We start from the raw sequence: 17899 nt of genomic DNA, 5'->3' as shown, positions 1-17899 counted from the left end.
AGCCGAGGGAGGGGGAAAGGCACCGCCACAACCTCAGCCTCCCCTTCTCTGCTGTTGGCTGCCCAGCCGGCATGCCCCCACCTACCTCCCTGCTGCGTCTTGACCTGGATGGTGGGGCTGGGAGGGCCATCGCCCACGGCGGTGAAGGCAAGCACGCGCAGGCTGTAGGTGATGCCAGGCAGCAGGCTGCCCACGGTCGTGAGGAGCCCCGCGTCGGTGTTGTGCTTGTGCCAGGCGTTCGGGGGGCGGCGGGAGTCCGGAGTATAGTAGACGCGGTATCCCCGCACCAGGCCGTTGGGCTCCTCGGGAGGCTCCCACTGCACCAGCATGGTGCTGGCGCTCAGCATGCGTGCCTGCACGCGGCGCGGTGGGCTGGAGGGCGCCTGTTCTCCCGTGCGTGCCCGCACTGCCTCGCTGGGCGGCCCTCGCCCGATGCTGTTCACCGCCAGCACGCGGAAGGCATATTCCGAGAAAGGGCTGAGGCCGCCAATGCTGTAGCGGGTGGTGGCCACACCATCCACCTCCTGAAAGGGGCCCTCCGTGCCCGCTGCGCGGTACTGGATGCCATAGTAGGTTACAGGCTCCGAGTTCCCAGAGTCCCAGGTGAGGGTGACACTGGTGGCAGTTGTCTCTGTCACCACAAGATCAATCGGAGGCTTTGGAAGAGCTGGAGACAAAGTGGAAGGCTCAAAGCTGCCCGAGGTCAAGATCCTTAGGAACCAACCCTAGACTTGGGGATTATCCAGGATATCTGGTGGGGTCACCTGAGTGTGGCTGATACCCACAGCCTACCTTGAAAAATGGCTGGAAAAGCTTATGGTGACCTCTGAAGGCACAAGTGAGGGACAGTGGCCAGGCCTGTCAGTGCCCCACCCAGGGCCTTGGGTCATTTAGTATGTACACATATCAACTGTGGGATTCACTGGACCCTCCCATCAGCACACCAGACTCATCTAACAAACAGACCTGGAGGTGATGTGACCCTTGCAGTCCCATGTAGATGAAAGACACCCAGACTGGGTAGCAGCTATGTGCCTCTGCAGGTCACCTGAGCCCACCTGGTGGAAAGTATGTGTAATAGGCAGGGGAAGGGGAGATATTTCCTTAGGGACTGGCCCGGATAGAAAGAGTGATGGGGCTGCTGGCCCCACAGACCCTGCAGCTTGGCTCAAATTGAAGTGGAAAGGTCCTGAGTCCACAGTCATTCAACAAATAATTAACAAGCACCCACTCAATGCCAGACATTGTGCTGGGGCTACAATGCCACACAGTCACATCCCTGCTCTCATGGAGTTTACACCTCAGTACAAGAGAGAATCAATAAACAAGTCGATCGTACTCATGATTCTGCCATGTGCAAGGACAGCAGGAATCAGGGTGCTGAGGTGGAGTAAGATCCAGGGAATCTCCTTGGATGCGGTGATGAGGGAAGGAAAGCATCACCAAGCTGAGGCCTGGAAGGGTACATGGAGCCAGTGACAGAAGGGGCCAGGCAAGGAGCACGGCAAACGGAAAGCAGCATGTGTCTGGACAGCTGGCGCGTGACAGGGTGGGAAGCCAGTGGCCCTGGGAGACCACAGTGAGGATCCTGATCTGTATCCTAAAACAACGGGAAGCCACTGGAAGGTGTTTCTCCCTTTCCTAAAAGGGAGTCACTTGATCCTGAATTACATTTTTTAAAGATCACTCAAGCTGCAAAACAGATAATGGATCAGAGGCTGTTGAGAATTGCAGCGGGGAGACCAGGAAGGAATCTGGTTTTTTTTTTTTTCATAGGGTCTCGCTCTGTCACTCAGGCTGGAGTGCAGTGGTGTGATCATGGCTCACTGCGTCACTGTAGCCTCACCCTCCTGGGCTCAAGTGATCCTCCTGTCTCAGCCCTCCCAAGTAGCTGGGCCACAGGTGTGTGCCACCATGCCCAGTTTTTTTTTTTTTTTTTTTTTCGTAGAGATGGGGGTCTCACTACGTTAACTGGGCTGGTCTCAAACTCCTGAGCTCAAGCAATCCTTCCAACTTGGCCTCCCAAAGCGCTAGGCTTACAGGAATGAGCCACCGTGCCTGGCCAGAATCGGTTACATATATGTGACATATGTGTAATACATGTGTGCCTGTCCCCAGGTATCAGGGCAGAGAGAACACACTTTCCCCTACTATTTTACCACACCCTTCTTGCTGGGAGGCTATTAAACCTGAAGGTCTGGTACTATGTAGTGGTGAGGGTGAGATATGGATTCAGACCACACTGGGTTTAAGTCCCTGCTCTGTCATTTATTTTTATGTGACCCTGGGGCAAGTGATACACCCTCTCTGTGCCTCGGTTCCCTCGTTTCAAAAATGGAAATAATAAGAGCACCTATCTCCCAGGGTAAAACAGAAAAAAACAAAATCAACTGTGCTTGCTAGCATGATGTCTCCCACCAAGAAACTCAATATGCCTTAACTATTATCATTAAGCCGGCTAATAACAGAAATCCCTCCCTCCCTCTAAGGGCTGGAGGACCCCAGGGCAGGGACACCCAGGAAAGGGCAAGAATCCCTCAGCCATGCCTGTGCCCATGGCAGCCAGCTCACATTCGCCCACCACCAGGACCTCCCAGATGACAGGGAGGGCACTGGTTACAGCACCTGCCACACTCACCTTTCACTGTGACCTGGGCTGTGGCCTCGATCATGCCCAGCGAGGAGATGGCCACACAGGTGTAGTTGGCAGAGCGTACGACATTGCTGAGCTCCAGGACGTTGCGGCCAACTGGCATCTCATCCTCCTTGGTGAGCTCCTCGGCCCCCATCATCCACTTCACGTAGGGCATGGGTGCACCCACTGCCACGCATGTCAGGTTCACGCTGCCGCCTGGCATCACCTCCTGGCTGCTGGGAGGGATGGAGAAACGAGGAGCCACGCGGCGCACTGCAGGAGGAGGGAGAGAGGCACTCACAGGCCGGGCAGGACACACGACTGCATGGAAGGGCAGGGGCCCCTCATTCAGGAAGCCCCTCTGGTCAGAGCCAAACCCATGCTCAGAGACAGGAGGGGTGGCACCGCCAGACCCCAGCTCATCATCCACTCCCACCCCACCCACTTCCAGCCTAGAAGTGGCCCCCACACTCAGGGACTGTCTGGAGCACGATGACTTACTCAATGAGAGATCTTGCAACCAAGCTCCCATTTTATAGCCTAGGAAACTGAGGCCTGTCAGGAAGGTCCTGTCTGCCCAGGGTCACACAGGGACTCAGTACAAGGTCCAGGCCTGGTCAGGACCACAACCCAGGGTGTTCTCCAGGGCCTATCTCTGCCTGCTCCTGGCTGGAGCACCAAGGAGAGAAAGCAGGCCCTAGGGTGGAGGGTCCTCAGAGCATGGCTGGGCAGAGCAGAAGGCCAGTCCAGAGGGACACAGCCACCTGCCGTGGAGTCACTGCCTCCACCTCCAGGCCATGGCCTGAGGGGAAGAAATAAGGCAAGCAGCAGGGCCGCCTGCCAGGGTCTCAGCCATGCTCAGGGCACAACCTGGGAACCCAAGCAAAAGGGCTGCCCTCAGGAGGACTGGGGAGGGGCAGGGGTCAGGGCAGGCCAGGGACATGGTCTGCGGGCAGGATGGGCATGACGATGGCAGTAACATGATGAGGGCGCCGAACAGACGGCTTCCTGCGCCAACAAACAAGGGTCTCAAGGGGAGGGGTGGCTGTGGCTGTGCCTGGCCACGACCTCCAGCCTTGGACTCCCCTGACCAGAAGCTGTTCTGAGCTTCTCAGTCCAGGGTACAGCCTAGAACCACCCGCCCCCGAAGTTGGAAGCTTGACACAGACACAGGAGCATGCAGAGGGAAGGGAGGTGATGAAACCCAGCCGTGGGCAGGCATGTCTGGCATGCAGATGGGCCATGCAGCTGGTGAGCAGAGGCCAGGGTGTGTCCTACACGGGCACTCTCACACGCAGGGCCAAAGGCGGCAGGCAGCAGGCTAGTCAGTACCCAAGAGCACTGCTGAGAGCACTGGTCTCTGAGGACCCTCGCTGGGGGGCCCAGGCATGCAAAGACCCCACAGCACCACATAAGGAGCATCTCCACTATAAGCACCAGACTATGCTGCTCACACAGCCCCAAATCACAGAACTAGAGCTAGAAGCAACTTCAGAGACCTCCCGGTCCAACGTCTGACCTCACCATACAGGGGTCAAAACTTAGACCCAGAGATCAGACATTCAGCAAGTCACCAGGTCCTGTCAACAGCGTGGCATAACATATCTTCCAAATCCATGTATTTCTCTCCATACACACAGGCAACTGCCACCACCAAAGTCCAAGCCATCATCATCCTTCCCTGAGTTGCTGCAATGTGTTCTGCGTCAGTCCTCCTGCCTTGTTGTCCACTGCCCCAATTCCTGCTCACGGGCCCTCCACAAACAGCTGGCACAAATCTGATGCCACTCCCTGTTTAACAAGCTCCTGCATGGCTCCCAGTGACTCCTCTGCCCAGCCCAAGAGACCCTACCTAATTTAGCACTTGCTTCAACTCCTTCCACAGCCTGCCTTACTCTGGTGCTCCAGACAGAACCCAAACCCTGGCAGCCCCAGAGACCAGGCCTGACAGGTGCTGGTGGGCTGGATCTGTGTCCCCAGGTTCACCTAGGGCATGAGAGTATCTTGTAGACATTCAGGGTTCTGCTTTCTCCTCAAATCAATGAGCATTCCCATTGTCTTTAAGGAAACCACTTCTACCTGCATTCTTCATACATGGGGTGTGTGACCCAGATCTGACTATGGAGAAACAGCCTTTGGACTTCCGCAGAAACTATTAGAAAAGCGACCTTCTCTCTCTACTGAGGTAGCTAAGCTTAGAGCAGCTGGGGATGGCTTCTCCCAACACACAGGAAAAGCTGCTTGAGAACAAAGATGTCGACAGAGGAGAGGAGAGCTCAGAAACAGACAGACAAATGACTGGCCAACCTGTTTAAGTACCTGGATCTAGCCCTGCCCAGCACCAAATCTACTACACTTTTCAGATTTGTAACACAGGACTTCCTTGTTTTGCTTACGCTGGTATAAGTGGGTTTCTGTCATCTGTTCTAGTGCCAGGAGTCTCTACCAATGATGACAGCATGTCACAGACACAGTTCTTGTGGCAGAACAGGTGGATCCCGGGGCATGGCTGGCAAGTGTCTCATGGCAACAAAGGACTCTCTGAGCACGCACCTCAAATGGTCCAAGGTGAGAGCAGGAGGCTCAGCCAGGACCACCACCCAGCCCAGCGGTGCATGCCCTCCCTCTGCTCTGGAGATGGGCCTCAGGGACAGGCACAGGCAGGCAAGTCTGTTTGCAGATCAGGTCCAGGCCTGCCACAGAAGCGGGGTGGGGGCAGCACAGAGGAGCAGCCTTAATGAACTAAATCTCTCCTGTCCTCTCGGCCAGTGGGTGCCCTGTCTCCTCCTCTTCATGGGAAGGGAAGCTATGCTTAAGCACCTACTAGGTGCAGGTTTCCATGCTGTAGATGCTATCACCTGCCAATTACAGTCAAGGGAACTGTTTTAAAACCAAGCCACATGACCAAGTTTATATACGTAGTAGGAGTAGGTCTGTGTGATGAAAAACTGTCACCCTTTCGAGCCCTAGCTGACAGGCCTGAAAAAAGACCCAGAAGGCTCTGGGGAGAAGCATCAGAATTAGCAGAGGCTGGCAGGAGAGGACGCTGCTCCAGCGGGCGTAAGGATGGGTTTAGACAGCCTGTGCCAGGGAGAGGTCATGATTGCAGGCTTGACCCCAGTCGGTGGTGGAATCATGGGGCCTAATCACGTCGTTGGATACCAGGACAAAGAGCCCCAGCAGAAGGAAGTAGGTCCTTGGCCAATAAACCTTGGGCACCAACCTAGAAACTTGACTGGACTTTACCCCCAAATTGTCCCTGGAGGACAGGGTCTTCAGGCCAAAAGGCGGACTTCATGGATCAGCCCTGGAGGTCAGGCCAACGCCCTGAGCCACGTCTTCTAAAGCCTCCAACTCCTGCGGCTGTCAGGAAATTGAGGCGCTTCACAGAAGAGTTGTGTTTATTTTTTCCCTCCTAGATGCAGGGGGCAGGGAGAGCTCTAGGGGCTAGGCATAAGTGTGAGAGGTCAACAGTGGCCTTTAGGGTCACCTGCAACACCAAGCAAGGGCCTCAGGTCCAGAGGCTCCTGGGCACACCACCTTCACTCTCACAAGGACACTGGGCTTCAGCCACGCAGAAACGTTACTGAGACTGAGACATTTTCCATGTGAGGGAGGTCAGGGTATGTCTACAGAGGAAGGGTGGGGGAAACAGGCAAGGGACAACCTCCTTGTATTCCAAGTGCCAACAGGGACCCGCATCCTAGACCTGCCCAGACAGCCACCCCCATGCCAACAGCTGGAGTGGCTGGCATCTCACTGCAGCAGCCCCAACCATCCTCCACCCACTGCTGCAGGCACAGGGCCTCCAAAAAGGAACAGGCCTCACCCTGGACAGTCTATTGACAGAAGCAACAGCAGGGAAAGAAAAACTGGAGCTGGGAAAAATGCACTCAGGGTCTAATCTTAGGCTCCAACAATGCCAGTATATTACCGTTCCCTGTGCATCCTTAGTGCTGACATTTTATAGACAATTTCCAAAACAGGGCCCTGCCATTTCTGGATTATATTTCAGCTGTAACTTTTAAGTCTAATTATTTGCGCTGACAACCCCCTATAATAGGGCGGTGCGGCGCCCAGAGGCATCAGCATTCAGTAGAGTGACAGCCTAATCGCAGGGGGAGGCAGCCCCGCAATCTGCATTCACTCAGAGAAATTTCTCTGATGAAAATAACACAACATTAAGGAGGGGATGAGGGGCAGGATCCACTGTATCAAGATAAAATAACTCTTTAATAAATAACCTTGTGGCTGCCGCAGAGCAGTAATTAAATGCCGGCAAACCCGGCACACAGTTTTAAGTAAAGCTGGAAAAATGTAAGATGCAATTATCAGCACCAAACAAATTACCAGCCCGGCAAATCCCCCTGGAATATTTAGAAACTCATGTCTGCCTTCCCGCTAAATATTTGTCCATGTGCTTATTTTTGGTGGGACCATAGGGTGGGGTGGGGGAAGGGAGGGGACGAGGGACCAGGAGGGTAGAGGAAGGGGCATGGAAGGAGCCACTCTGGGCTGGGCTGTCTCTGCTGATGACTGTTTTCTGGACGCCCTCGCAGATCTGCCCGGTCAGCAAAATGGTGTAACAGAAATGCCCCAGTGCTCAGCTGTGCATATGGATGGATGCTCAGGGCTGATATCTGAGCCTAGGCTATAGCCCTCCTCTCGACCGGCTCCCTCACCCTCACAGAGGAAACTCAAGCCACGGAGGATGTGGCAGAGGGAACGAGGATGGCCTGGGTTTGCTCCCTGAGGCTCAGCCTGTCCTACACTGCTATCCTGAACCCCCAAAACCCAATGGACAGGTGAGTCTCCTCTGACCACACAGACCATGTGATACATGAATGACCACTAGCCCCTGCTGCCAACCCCAGCATCAGTGGTGGGGGTCTGGCTCCAAGGGTGGGGCGGAAAACCAAGCCCCAAACAGACCTGCTCTGGAATGGGCTCAAGGACAGTCTCCAGGAAACCCTTCCTAACCTGTGGCTGAGTCAGGGGCCACTTCCAGGCTCCCATATGGATCCTGCTAAGTTGCAGCTGACCGTTCAGTTACTCCAGGTAGAAGCAACTTGAGTCTGAATGCAAAGCATCAAGCTAAGGAATGTCAGTTAGCTGGCTGGTGGGCTAAATTCCACCCTCAAACAGACACGGGAGCTAGCTGGGAAGCTTGGGCAGAGGGGCCTGGGGCAGGTAGGAGGATCTTAATTTGGATCTGGCTGGAGAAGGAAAAGACAACCTTATGGGAGACTTCCTCAGGGTGCCAAGATGACGCTACTCACCCTGCGCCATGGACACCAAGCTCCCTGAGGCAGACCAGGGCTGACTGCCCCATTAAGCCCTGGTGGGGGACCTGAGGGCCTCAAGGACAGGGTACACACTGCAGGACTTTTGCCCTGTGCTGCAGGATACTGGGAGGACAGCCTGCTCTAGCCTCTCGCCTTAATGTTCCAGTAGTTTCGGCTGAGCCTGGGTCTCTAGGCGAGGAGGGCGGTGAAAGGTCCCACAGGTGCACACAAAGCGCTACAGGTCTTACACCTCTCTCTGACCACAGCCCCCCACAACCATTCCTGAGCACCGCCTGGATCAGACAGCTGGCCCGGCCTGGGTGCAAAGGTGGGGTACAGTTTCATGCCATGCAGCATGCCCACCCCACCACCCTTGCAGGGGAACCAGGCTAAGGGGACATGCAGACACGTGGTGCACCAGGGACCCAAGCAGCAGGAACATGCAGGTCAGGGGTCTGCCCACCCATCCCTGGTCCTGCCTGCCCGCCGGCCCAAACAACAGAGACTGGCAGGCAGGCACGGCGCAGTGAGCCTGAGGGAGCTGACCGAGCCCGCTGGGCCCTACTGACAGGCGTGTCCCATCGATGGGCGAACTGTAGATGGATAAGAAGTGAAAAGGACCAACCTTCTCGCTGATCTGAGAGATGAGAGTTTGGGTTGATGGCAGAGTGCGATGAAGATGAGGAGGGAATAAAAAAAAGACAAGGAGAAACACAGAGAGAGTAAAAACAGGCCAACCTTCATCTGCCCACACAGCACGGAGACGAGACGAGACTCCTGTGCCCCCTCGCACACACACATGCACACAGGTGCACACGAACCACATCACTCACAAAAGACTCAGGACTCATGGAGGACATGGTGGACAGGGCTGAGGCCCGCCAGCAGGCGCCAGGGAGGCCGAGGGTGGGGCCGGGGCAGGTGAAAATGGGGCACAGGCAGGCCCCCATGCCTCACACGCACCCCACAGCTCAGACAGACCCTGTGGACCGGGCTCTGGGGTCAAGGCCCACCCAGCCCACAAACCTGCCAAGGTACAGGAGCCACTAGAAGCCACCCCCACACACACCACCGGTGTAAGGAGCATGTCTGGGCACCTGTGGGGAAAAAGGCACTGTCCCTGTTTTAGACAGCTGTGGCCCGCAGCCAGGTCCCTAGAGAAAGGGGGAAGGCTGGTAGTCCTGGCACAGGTAGGCCAGGCTCTGAGGAGGGCAGGGCTCCACCCTGGCCCCAGCAGCTGTACACCCAGAGAGCTGTAGATGGAAGGAGAGAATGAGTCACTCAGGGAGAGTCAGGTGGTGAAGGAGAAAGGCTCTGGCCCACCCAGCATGCCTGGGCCTGCTAGACTGTGGGTGGAGCTGCAGGCAACTGTGAACAAAGTCAGATGTAACTGGATGACACATCCCCCCACAGTGCTATCCGAGAGGCTACTGACTAGTAGCCGAGTGCTAGCTGCAGAGGCTACTGACTAGCAAGTGCTTCCTGTGTGCCTGGCAATGTGCCTGGTGCTTCACGTGTACTGTCCCATTAAATGTAGCAGTCGCGTGGCCTCAGAGAGCGACACTGGGAGCCCTGAGAATTTGGGGGACAGAAGGGAGATGTGAGGTAGACACCGAAGCCAAGTCTGATGAGGAGACGAAGCCTTGCGGCCAGTGGACACAGGTGAAGAGAGTCAGATGGGTGGAGACAATGGCAGTGGGAAGCCATCAGTAATTTCCCCCAGGTGACACGTTGCAACGTTTGTTTTGACTGAGGGGTGCCACTGGCATCTAGTGAGCTAGAGATGCTGCTAAACACCCTCCAATGCACAGGATGGCCCCTCACAACTAAGAATCGTCCAGCCCAAAATGTCAACAGTGCTGCGGCTGAGAAGTTCAGGGCTAGAGCCCACATCAAGCCGTCTGAGGCTCAGGAGCCTGCTGTGGGAGGAAACCTCGAAGCCTCTCTGCTGGGAGATGGGACGGGGTGCAGGCCAGAAAGCAGGCTGGCACTGGGGACTCCTCCACGGCCATCCACCCACAAGCAGGGCTCAGGATGCAGAGCTGGTGGTCAGCCCAGTACAGGCTGTCCCCAGGCGCTGGGGCTGAAGGGCCCCTAGTACTGCTGAGGGCAGAAGGCAGGGGTTTTGCCAACCATGAGATGACGAGCAGTGGGGGCACCAGAGGCAAGGCACCCAGGGAGCAGGGCCTTTCAGGTGTGCCTAAGTCCTGTCAGTAGGACAGTAGGGCCTATGGGGCAGGTTGCTCTTGGCAAAGCAGGGTGGTGTAGATTCAATTAGGGTCTACATGAGGCAGGTCCTGGGGACAGAGCTTAGAAACGGTCCTGAGACATCAGGGCCTAGAGGAACGTCGTATGTGTGTGTGAGAGAGACAACAGAAGTCAGGTTTGGCTGTTTTGGAGTCCCTGGCAAGTGGGGCTGGAACTAAAGGAACCCCCGTATTTCCTACCAAAAGGCATGTGGGGATGGAGCCAGAAGGGTAGATTCAAGAAGAGCTGGTAGAGTTAGGGGTTGGGCCATGGCAAGAGCCAGTCAGGGCCCTGCCTGAGTCTACCATGTGTAAACAGGGAGCCCCACAGACAGGGATGCTCCAAGGGGCTGCACATAAGAGCTCCCTGGGCAGTGACTGAGCTGCCAGCTACAGCAGCTGAGCTCAGTCGATCTCCAAAGAGACCCACTGCTCTGCCTCCAGGGCTGGGGCCAGTGTAACAGTGACTTCAGAGAATGCTGCCTAGTCAAGAGGACAATGCGGGGGTCCATCCACCTCTGGGCCTTCTTCTGCCTCAGCACTGCCTCCTGTAGCTGTGCCCTGGGAAATGTGCCCATAGGCCACGCCCTTGCAGCTGGCTTGGGTTTACAGTGGCTCTACTGGGCCTCTCCTCTCCCTGGTGCAGCCACATGCAAAGGCTTTCTTGCTGAGGCCTGGAACTGCCACTCTCGACCCTACAGTCTTGTGAGCAGAGCTCTAGAGAGCACAGCATTTGCGATAGTCAGGGTGGGAGGAGGCAGATCTTTGAGAAGGGTCATTCCAGCTGCTCCTCTGTTGGAGTGGACTCGCCAGCCCCAATGCCTGCCAGACACTCTGCCTGGGGCAGGGTGGGGCCAAGGCTGTGCCGCTTACAACTCCACTCCTCTAGGCCATTTGGGAAGTTTTCAGGCTCTTGTTCCTGAAGACAGACAAGCTGACCTGAGGCCTGAGCCTTGAGGAGTAAGACACCTGACAGTAAGCTAGGGGACCTCCCATCCCATGCCCCCAACTCTCATGAAGCATCTTTAATAGTCTCTGAAGCACAATTTGCCCACCACAAATAGTTCCTCTGCAGCTCAACTGGTCACCGAATGGGCTGGCAGCCTGTGGCCTCTCCAGAACCACCCTCTCCCATGACAGACAGCAACTCCTTGATAAGTGTATTTTGGTTGACAGCCTTGACAGCCTAATTCTCTCTGCTCTGAGTAAGCAAGTCTGACCACATGGCCCCAAAGAGTCGGACAGGCCACCGCCATCACCCACCACGTGCACTGGGTGGAGAGTCAGACGACACCCCTCAGGAAGCCGCGCTAAGCACTTGGCGTGATGGAATCATCACTGCAAGGAGCCATGTCCGCTTTCCTTTACAATCCCCTGGGTGGAGACAGTTGTACTTTTTTTTTTTTTTTGAGATGGAGTCTTGCTCTTTCACCAAGCTGGAGTGCAGTGGCGCGACCTTGGCTCACTGCAACCTCTGGTTCAAGCGATTTTCCTACCTCAGCCTCCTGAGTAGCTGGGATTACAGGCACGCGCCACCACGCCCAGCTAATTTTTGTAGTTTTAGTAGAGACGGGGTTTCACCATGTTGGCCAGGATGGTCTCGATCTCCTGACCTCGTGATCTGCCTGCCTCAGCCTCCCAAAGTGCTGGGATTACAGGCGTGAGCCACCACACCCGGTCAACAGTTTAACTTTTAATGACATCCATCTGTACAAGAAGGCTAGGTGAGGGGACAGTATGAGGGTAGAAGGGGCTCTCAGGGCCCCTTCTGGGCACATGTATACCAGACCCAGTGTGTTCTCAGGAAAGGGCAAGGTGGCCAGCTTTAGTCACCCCTAGGCTGTGAGCATAGCAGAGATTGGAAACCCCAAAACAGTCCCCAGGTTCCTCTCTGCTGGGAACTTGGACTTCCAGAAAGCACACTGTCCACTCGCTCCCAGCAAAGAACATCTGGAACACACCAGGTGCTCACCCGAGGCAACATAACCACAGGGGCTCACAGCTGAACACAAGGGTTCCTCCAGGAAGGCTCCAGGAAGACCTGGCCAGAGGATAGGCTCACCTGGCCTGGTCCGTTCCTGAGGCCTTACTACCCCAAAGCCCAGAGCCATGGTGGTTCTGGAGCCCACCATGCTGCGGCAGGCAGGAGGATGTACTGAAGGAAAGCCAGGCCAGGTATGCATGCATTTACACACAGATAAGTGTGCCCGTGTGTGCACACACACATGCACATACACCAAGAAGTCGGATTGGATGGCTCCAAATTCCCATGGGGCTCCGGGCCCATGCGGCAAGACCTACAAAAGATACAAATGCTCCCAAGAGTGGCTGCTTCCCCATGGGCCTGCAAGGAAGGAAGGCGAAGTAGTGGCAGACGCCAGGAACTTGCCCAGTGGGAGCTGTTGCTGCTGCTGCAGAAAGAAGCAGGAAGGAGAAGAGACTGGGCCCATGGCAGTCCCTTGCGTGTCTGCACCAAGGGCTCTGGGCAGAGAGCCCGGCAGGTGCAGCACAGCTCTGTGGTGACAGGGGCCAGGCACTGCCTGAGTCCTTACCTCGCACATACAGGTTCGCAGGGGCTGAGTAACGTGTGCCTGCCGAGTTGGTCGCCACACACTCGTACTTGCCTTGGTCGGATTCCTCACTGCTCTCTATCTGCAAGGCACCTGTGGGTACACGAAGCGAGAGGTCAGGCACGGCCCATGTCGAGTGTGGCCTGGAACACGGTGAGAGGTCTCGACAGCATCTGTGGCTGATGTTGACCAGATGTCGAAGCTCATCCAGGCCACACCCTGGCACCCCTGCTGCTTCCAGGAAGCTCTCCCTGAAGAGCCCAGTGGCCTCCTGTCTAGAACCAACGGTTGTGCTTTGGAGCACAATCTCATGCTCCCCACAGTCCAGCAAGACCCACCTTTGCTCTGCCAGGGACTGTACCCCAACCCCCAGCTCCATTCAGTTTCTGCCACACTCTTGCCAGTACTGGAGCCTATTTCCCAATCAACATCCCTGTTAGTGTTCCTGGCCCCGCAGCCCCACTAAGCCAGTCAGAGCCAGGTGTGGGAGCAGCCTGCAGACTGGCGGGCCTGGGATTCACAAGCACGCCATGCCCTCATCAGGCTGGAGCTTGAGAATTTGCCGCCCACCAGGAAGGAATGGGTTTGCCCTGGGGGCCTGGTGCCCAGCAGCCTCTGCTCCCAGCACCATCTTCCCCTCCTACTCCACCCCCTCCCCGCCAGCCCCACCCATTCCAGCTCCACTCCTCAGCCCGGTCCTGCTAAAGTGCTTCGACCCACCACGGCTCCTGCATAATTCAAGAGGCTAATGGAGGTTGGAGCTCTCACTCGGGCCAGTGCCCTGAGGGGCTGCTCTGGCCGCAGACGGACAGACAGGAGCCAGGATCGGGGTGGGTAGCAAAAGGACCCTCAGAAAGGGTGGAGGAATCTTGGGCTTGAGGCCAGTTCTGACAGGTCCTGGCGGGGGAGGCCAAGGCAGAGCGGCAAGGTGGGGGTGGATCCACTGGACTTGGCCGTCCCCTGGCCCCACCAATAAACACTTGAAAAAACTGCTTGTGAAAGCACACTGGGCAAGCTGTCTGTGACAGACACACCCCCGGGCACAGGCAGCACACCCCTCCCTGGAACAATCCAACAGACAATTACACCCACACAGGACGGTCCAACAGTTAAGAACCCCCACAGGACACAGTCTGACAAAACCACCTCCTGCACAGAACAGCCAGCCTAACCTGACAGCCCCCACCTTCCCAGGGCCCAGGCTGATGGACAATCACACCCACACAGGACATGGACAGAAGCTGCCGGGCCCCCCCTGCCTGGACTGGACAGGAGCCAGAGGAAGAGTTCCAAGTCATGCTCTCACGGTTGGGGCCCAAAGGGGTACCACCCTGGGTCTGACCTATAGCCACCTCACTACCTGATGTCCCTCTTCCACCATCTAACCCAGGGCAGCAGGAGGGACTGGGAACCCCCAGGGGGCTGGCAGCTGGAGGTGAAGGAAGAGGGGAGGCCACCAATGCAGGACACAGGACCAGCCTGCCTCTTTGGTGCTGGCCTCAGCCCTCCCCACCAGATGCCAGGGAGCACCAGGGCCCAGTGCACATGCCAAATACCATCTCCTTTAAGAGCAGCCCTGATGGGCACCCAACAGGTCATGCTGATGGGATGGATGGACACTAGTACAGAAAATGTTCCTTCAAGCAGGTCGGGTTCAGGCCGCTGAGGGGTCGAGGCTGCCCTAAGGTCACCTGAGTGAGGCAGGGGGGTGTGGGTGGGGTGAGGGAGACCTGGTGGCTGGTGCCACAGGCTTGGGGCAGAAAGTGGTTCCTGGGTGAAATTTCTGACCCAGAAAATAGGAGGTTCCTCTGCAACAAGAGCCTAAGAGTGGTCAGGGGGCCTAACAGAGACTGGGTGCCTATTTGCATACAGAAATCCCCAAATCTGGAACCAACACCAGGACCCAGGAGCAGGGACAACAAAGAGTCACCACAGGCTGAGTAGATGGGCAGGGGGATTGGGGGGCTCCCAGGTGAAGCAAGAGCCAGCCTCCGGGTGATGGGCAAGATAGCACCCAGGAAGGCAGCTGCTCTTGCCTGAGACCATCCTGGTCCTGAGCTCTGAAGGTCTAGATGTGCCCAGACACTGAGAGAACTGGAGAGAAAATGATGTGAATAGACAAGCCACCATTTTACAGGTGTCTGCTCTGCGCCAGACACTACACATCCTCCTCTCCTCTAATTCTCATGACCCTGTGCGGCAGGTGGCCGTGACCCAATTTAAAGAGGAAATACACTTCTGAGAGATGAACTGAGTTTCTGAAGATCACATAGGTGGTAAGTCAGATTTGAACCTGGATCTTCCTGAGTCCAGAATCTGTGCTTTTAACTCTTAGGCTGCAGGGCCCTGCTGCGTGGAGGCAGCCTAGCGGGGACTCCGAGCTGACAGGTCAGGTGATGGAGTTACGCACGAGCCTGTTTACCTCCCTGTTGTCATCCTAGCACCTACACAGAACTCTTAAGTGAACATTCCTCCTAATCCTTGCCAGGCTGAAGGGATGATCCTCATTCTACCACGGTACAGAGCCGGGATACTAAAGGGAAAGTCAAGTAATAATTGAGGTCCCCCCAAAAGAGACTGTCAAGAGAAAAGGCAAGGCTTGGTCACACTCCTCAACCTCAAGGGAAGCTCTTCTGTCTAGGGAAGCCGGGGGACAGGCTAAGTTTCACAGTAGGAGCTGATGGGGTCCCTTCTGTGGGGATGGCCTGGAAGGCCTGGGCAGCAGGGCTTGCTGTCCTAGGCGGGGCCCGGCGAGTATCTTCACAATTCAGACTTGCAATGGATGAGTCCACAGGAGGGAATGACTGAGAGTGGATGTGTGTGGTGGCCGGTGGTGTTGGGGGTGCTGGAGCTGGAGATGAGGAGGCTGAAGAGGTTGGGATGGGGATGGGGAGGTGACAGACTGGACGGGATGGAGTGGAGGTGACGGCAGTGGCAAGGCGTGGTGTGGCGAGAGGCACGGACAGCATTCTTACCTCTGATTGGTGAACCACCTGGCGAGGTAATTTGAATGCAAATAAGATCAGAGAGAAGCATTAGTATAAAAGGAAGGAAAGCCACACAAAGCCAAATCAGGTAAAATAAAACACAAGAAAGGGCCTTAAATACATGGAGAAATTGAGGCCTGAGTTAGGCCGACACGGACAGTGTGTGAGCAAGCAGGCAGAGCCAGACTGAGTGTCAGTGAAGCTGTGTCCCAGGTCACTGGCTCTGCTCTGGGGAGGAGGAGGGGGCTCAGTGGGGCTGGGGGTGACGAGAATCAGGGAGGTGAGTCAGGACTCCTGCAGACCCCACTGGCTGGGGCCAATGGAGGGGGAAGGTGAAGAAAAGAGGTAGTAACCCCACCCCACAGGGCCACCCAAATCCCACCGGTGGGTAAGATTCCAAAACAAAGCACTTACCAAAACAAAGCCTGGTGTTAAGGCAGACAGGACACAGGCTAAAGGGAGGGCTTGCCATGGGCTACTAGCACACTGGGCCTCCCACAACACGCAGCCCAGCCGAGAGGAACGGGCAGCAGGACTCAGCAAACTCACAGCCCAGAGACAGAGTCCCTAGAAAGCCCACTCAACCCTGCTAAAAACTGGGGGACTACTGAACTTCCCCAATTTGGCCTGGCTGGCGAGAGGCAGAGATCAGGGCCCACCCTTTTCCTGTCTAGCACCTCATAACCCTGAGGGTTGGTAACCCAGAGGGCCAGGCGTTCACCCTCCATATCCAGGCCTATTAGGAGATTTGAGCGGGTTTCATCCCCAACAGGTACCTTCTCTGAGGCTCAAGCCCCCTGTGCAACCACTGCCTTCCCCAGAGGAGTGAGGAGCCCACAGATGGGCCCAGGTCCAGCCCACGTCTACCCTGCCCTGCTGCCTGCTTCCTGCCCACGTCTGGGGATTGGGAAGTGTGCAGAAAAATCAACACCAATCCGTTTCATGGAACTTGACAACAGCACCTAGAGGAATTCTTCATCTCTAAGTTCAAATGAGAAAACAGAGGCCAAGAGACATTCAGGGAATTACTCAAAGCCCAAGGTCACACCAGCTTGTGAGTGAAGTGGAAGGACTTGACAAGGTCCATCTAACTCATAGCCTGCCCACAGGATGAGGCTGCCAGTCCTGCAGATGCAGAGGCAGGGGAGAGGGCAAAGGCTGGGACCTGGGAGTGAGGGTTATGTGGGAAGAATCCGCACAATGATTCTCTCTCTCCAAGAGACCCTTTCAGGAGGTCCATAAGGAGGTCTGCAAGGTCAAAACTGTTTTCATAATACTAAGAAATTATTTGCTTTATACACTTTCTCTCATGAACGTAGAGTTTTTCAGAGGCTACATGACATGTGCTATCACAATTGCCCTAATGCAAAAGTAGCTAGAAAATCCAGCTGCCTTCTATATAAGTCCCAAATTAAAGAGATTTGTAATAAGGGTAAACCAATGTTGTCCCTCTTGGTAAATATTTTTGTTTTAAAAAAATAACTATTTTTCCTTAAAAATGTTATTTATGCTAATATATAATAGGTTTTTATTATTTTAAAATGCATTAATAAATATTTTAAAATAATCTCAGTCTTAATATCTAATATGGTAAACATCAATAGAAATAACCCACACAATGGCTGGGCACGGTGGCTCACCCCTGTAATCCCAGCACTTTGGGAGGCTGAGGCGGGCGGATCACCCGAGGTTCGGAGTTCAAGACCAGTCTGACCAACATGGTGAAACCCTGTCTCTACTAAAAATACAAAATTACCCAGGCGTGGTGACTCATGCTTGTAATCCCAGCTACTCAGGAGTATGAGGCAGGAGAATTGCTTGAACCTGGGAGGCAGAGGTTGCGATGAGCCGAGATCGCGCCATTGCACTCCAGCCTAGGTACCAAGAGCGAAACTCTGTCTCAAAAAAAAAAAAAAAAAAAAAAAAAAAAAAAAAAAAGAACCCACACAAGCAAACCCTCTTTGAGGTTCTCTGATATTTACAAGTAGAGGTCCTGAGACCAAAAAGTTGACATTGCTGATCTCCTGTCATCCACGCCAGGACTTGGTGGGGGTGGGAGCAGTGGATATGGTCCAGGGCTGGCATCCCTCGCTCCTGGCCTCAGCTCTTCCAGAACCTAACCTATTCTGAAAGAATCTAACAGTAATTTCCCCACCAAACAGAGAATCTGACTTTT

General features: G+C 55.3%; 1 protein-coding gene across 35 annotated transcripts in view, besides 4 other annotated features; it reads right to left on the bottom strand.

The window, feature by feature from the left end:
* The window catches only part of PTPRF (protein tyrosine phosphatase receptor type F), a 101616-nt gene that overhangs the window by 32028 nt on the left and 51689 nt on the right, over positions 1–17899 (bottom strand). For 18 of the 35 annotated variants that reach the window (XM_011541873.3, XM_011541871.4, XM_011541872.4 and 15 more), the window contains 4 exons: positions 12719–12829; positions 8546–8557; positions 2639–2908; positions 86–667 (listed from right to left, as the gene is read on the bottom strand). In XM_011541873.3, coding sequence (XP_011540175.1) covers positions 86–667; positions 2639–2908; positions 8546–8557; positions 12719–12829 — 975 coding nt within the window. Of the gene's footprint in view, positions 1–85; positions 668–2638; positions 2909–8545; positions 8558–12718; positions 12830–15711; positions 15730–17899 lie in introns of all 35 variants that reach the window. The other 17 variants (XM_005271080.4, NM_002840.5, XM_047426507.1 and 14 more) reach the window with 3 other exon arrangements.
* Positions 9125–9394: an enhancer, noted in NCBI's record as "active region_919". NCBI's record gives its function as "activates an Ori minimal core promoter by ATAC-STARR-seq in GM12878 lymphoblastoid cells {active_cell/tissue: GM12878}" and the evidence as "EXISTENCE:reporter gene assay evidence [ECO:0000049][PMID:35858748]".
* Positions 9556–10377: an enhancer, noted in NCBI's record as "H3K27ac-H3K4me1 hESC enhancer chr1:44046933-44047754 (GRCh37/hg19 assembly coordinates)". NCBI's record gives its function as "activates a minimal SCP1, AML or CMV promoter by ChIP-STARR-seq in primed H9 embryonic stem cells {active_cell/tissue: H9 hESC(primed)}" and the evidence as "EXISTENCE:reporter gene assay evidence [ECO:0000049][PMID:30033119]".
* Positions 15181–16041: an enhancer, noted in NCBI's record as "H3K27ac-H3K4me1 hESC enhancer chr1:44041269-44042129 (GRCh37/hg19 assembly coordinates)". NCBI's record gives its function as "activates a minimal SCP1, AML or CMV promoter by ChIP-STARR-seq in primed H9 embryonic stem cells {active_cell/tissue: H9 hESC(primed)}" and the evidence as "EXISTENCE:reporter gene assay evidence [ECO:0000049][PMID:30033119]".
* Positions 16042–16904: an enhancer, noted in NCBI's record as "H3K27ac-H3K4me1 hESC enhancer chr1:44040406-44041268 (GRCh37/hg19 assembly coordinates)". NCBI's record gives its function as "activates a minimal SCP1, AML or CMV promoter by ChIP-STARR-seq in naive H9 embryonic stem cells {active_cell/tissue: H9 hESC(naive)}" and the evidence as "EXISTENCE:reporter gene assay evidence [ECO:0000049][PMID:30033119]".

This window comes from Homo sapiens, chromosome 1 (genome assembly GCF_000001405.40).
Source record: "Homo sapiens chromosome 1, GRCh38.p14 Primary Assembly".
NCBI lineage: Eukaryota > Metazoa > Chordata > Mammalia > Primates > Hominidae > Homo > Homo sapiens.
This window is presented reverse-complemented; position numbering and strand designations above follow the sequence as displayed.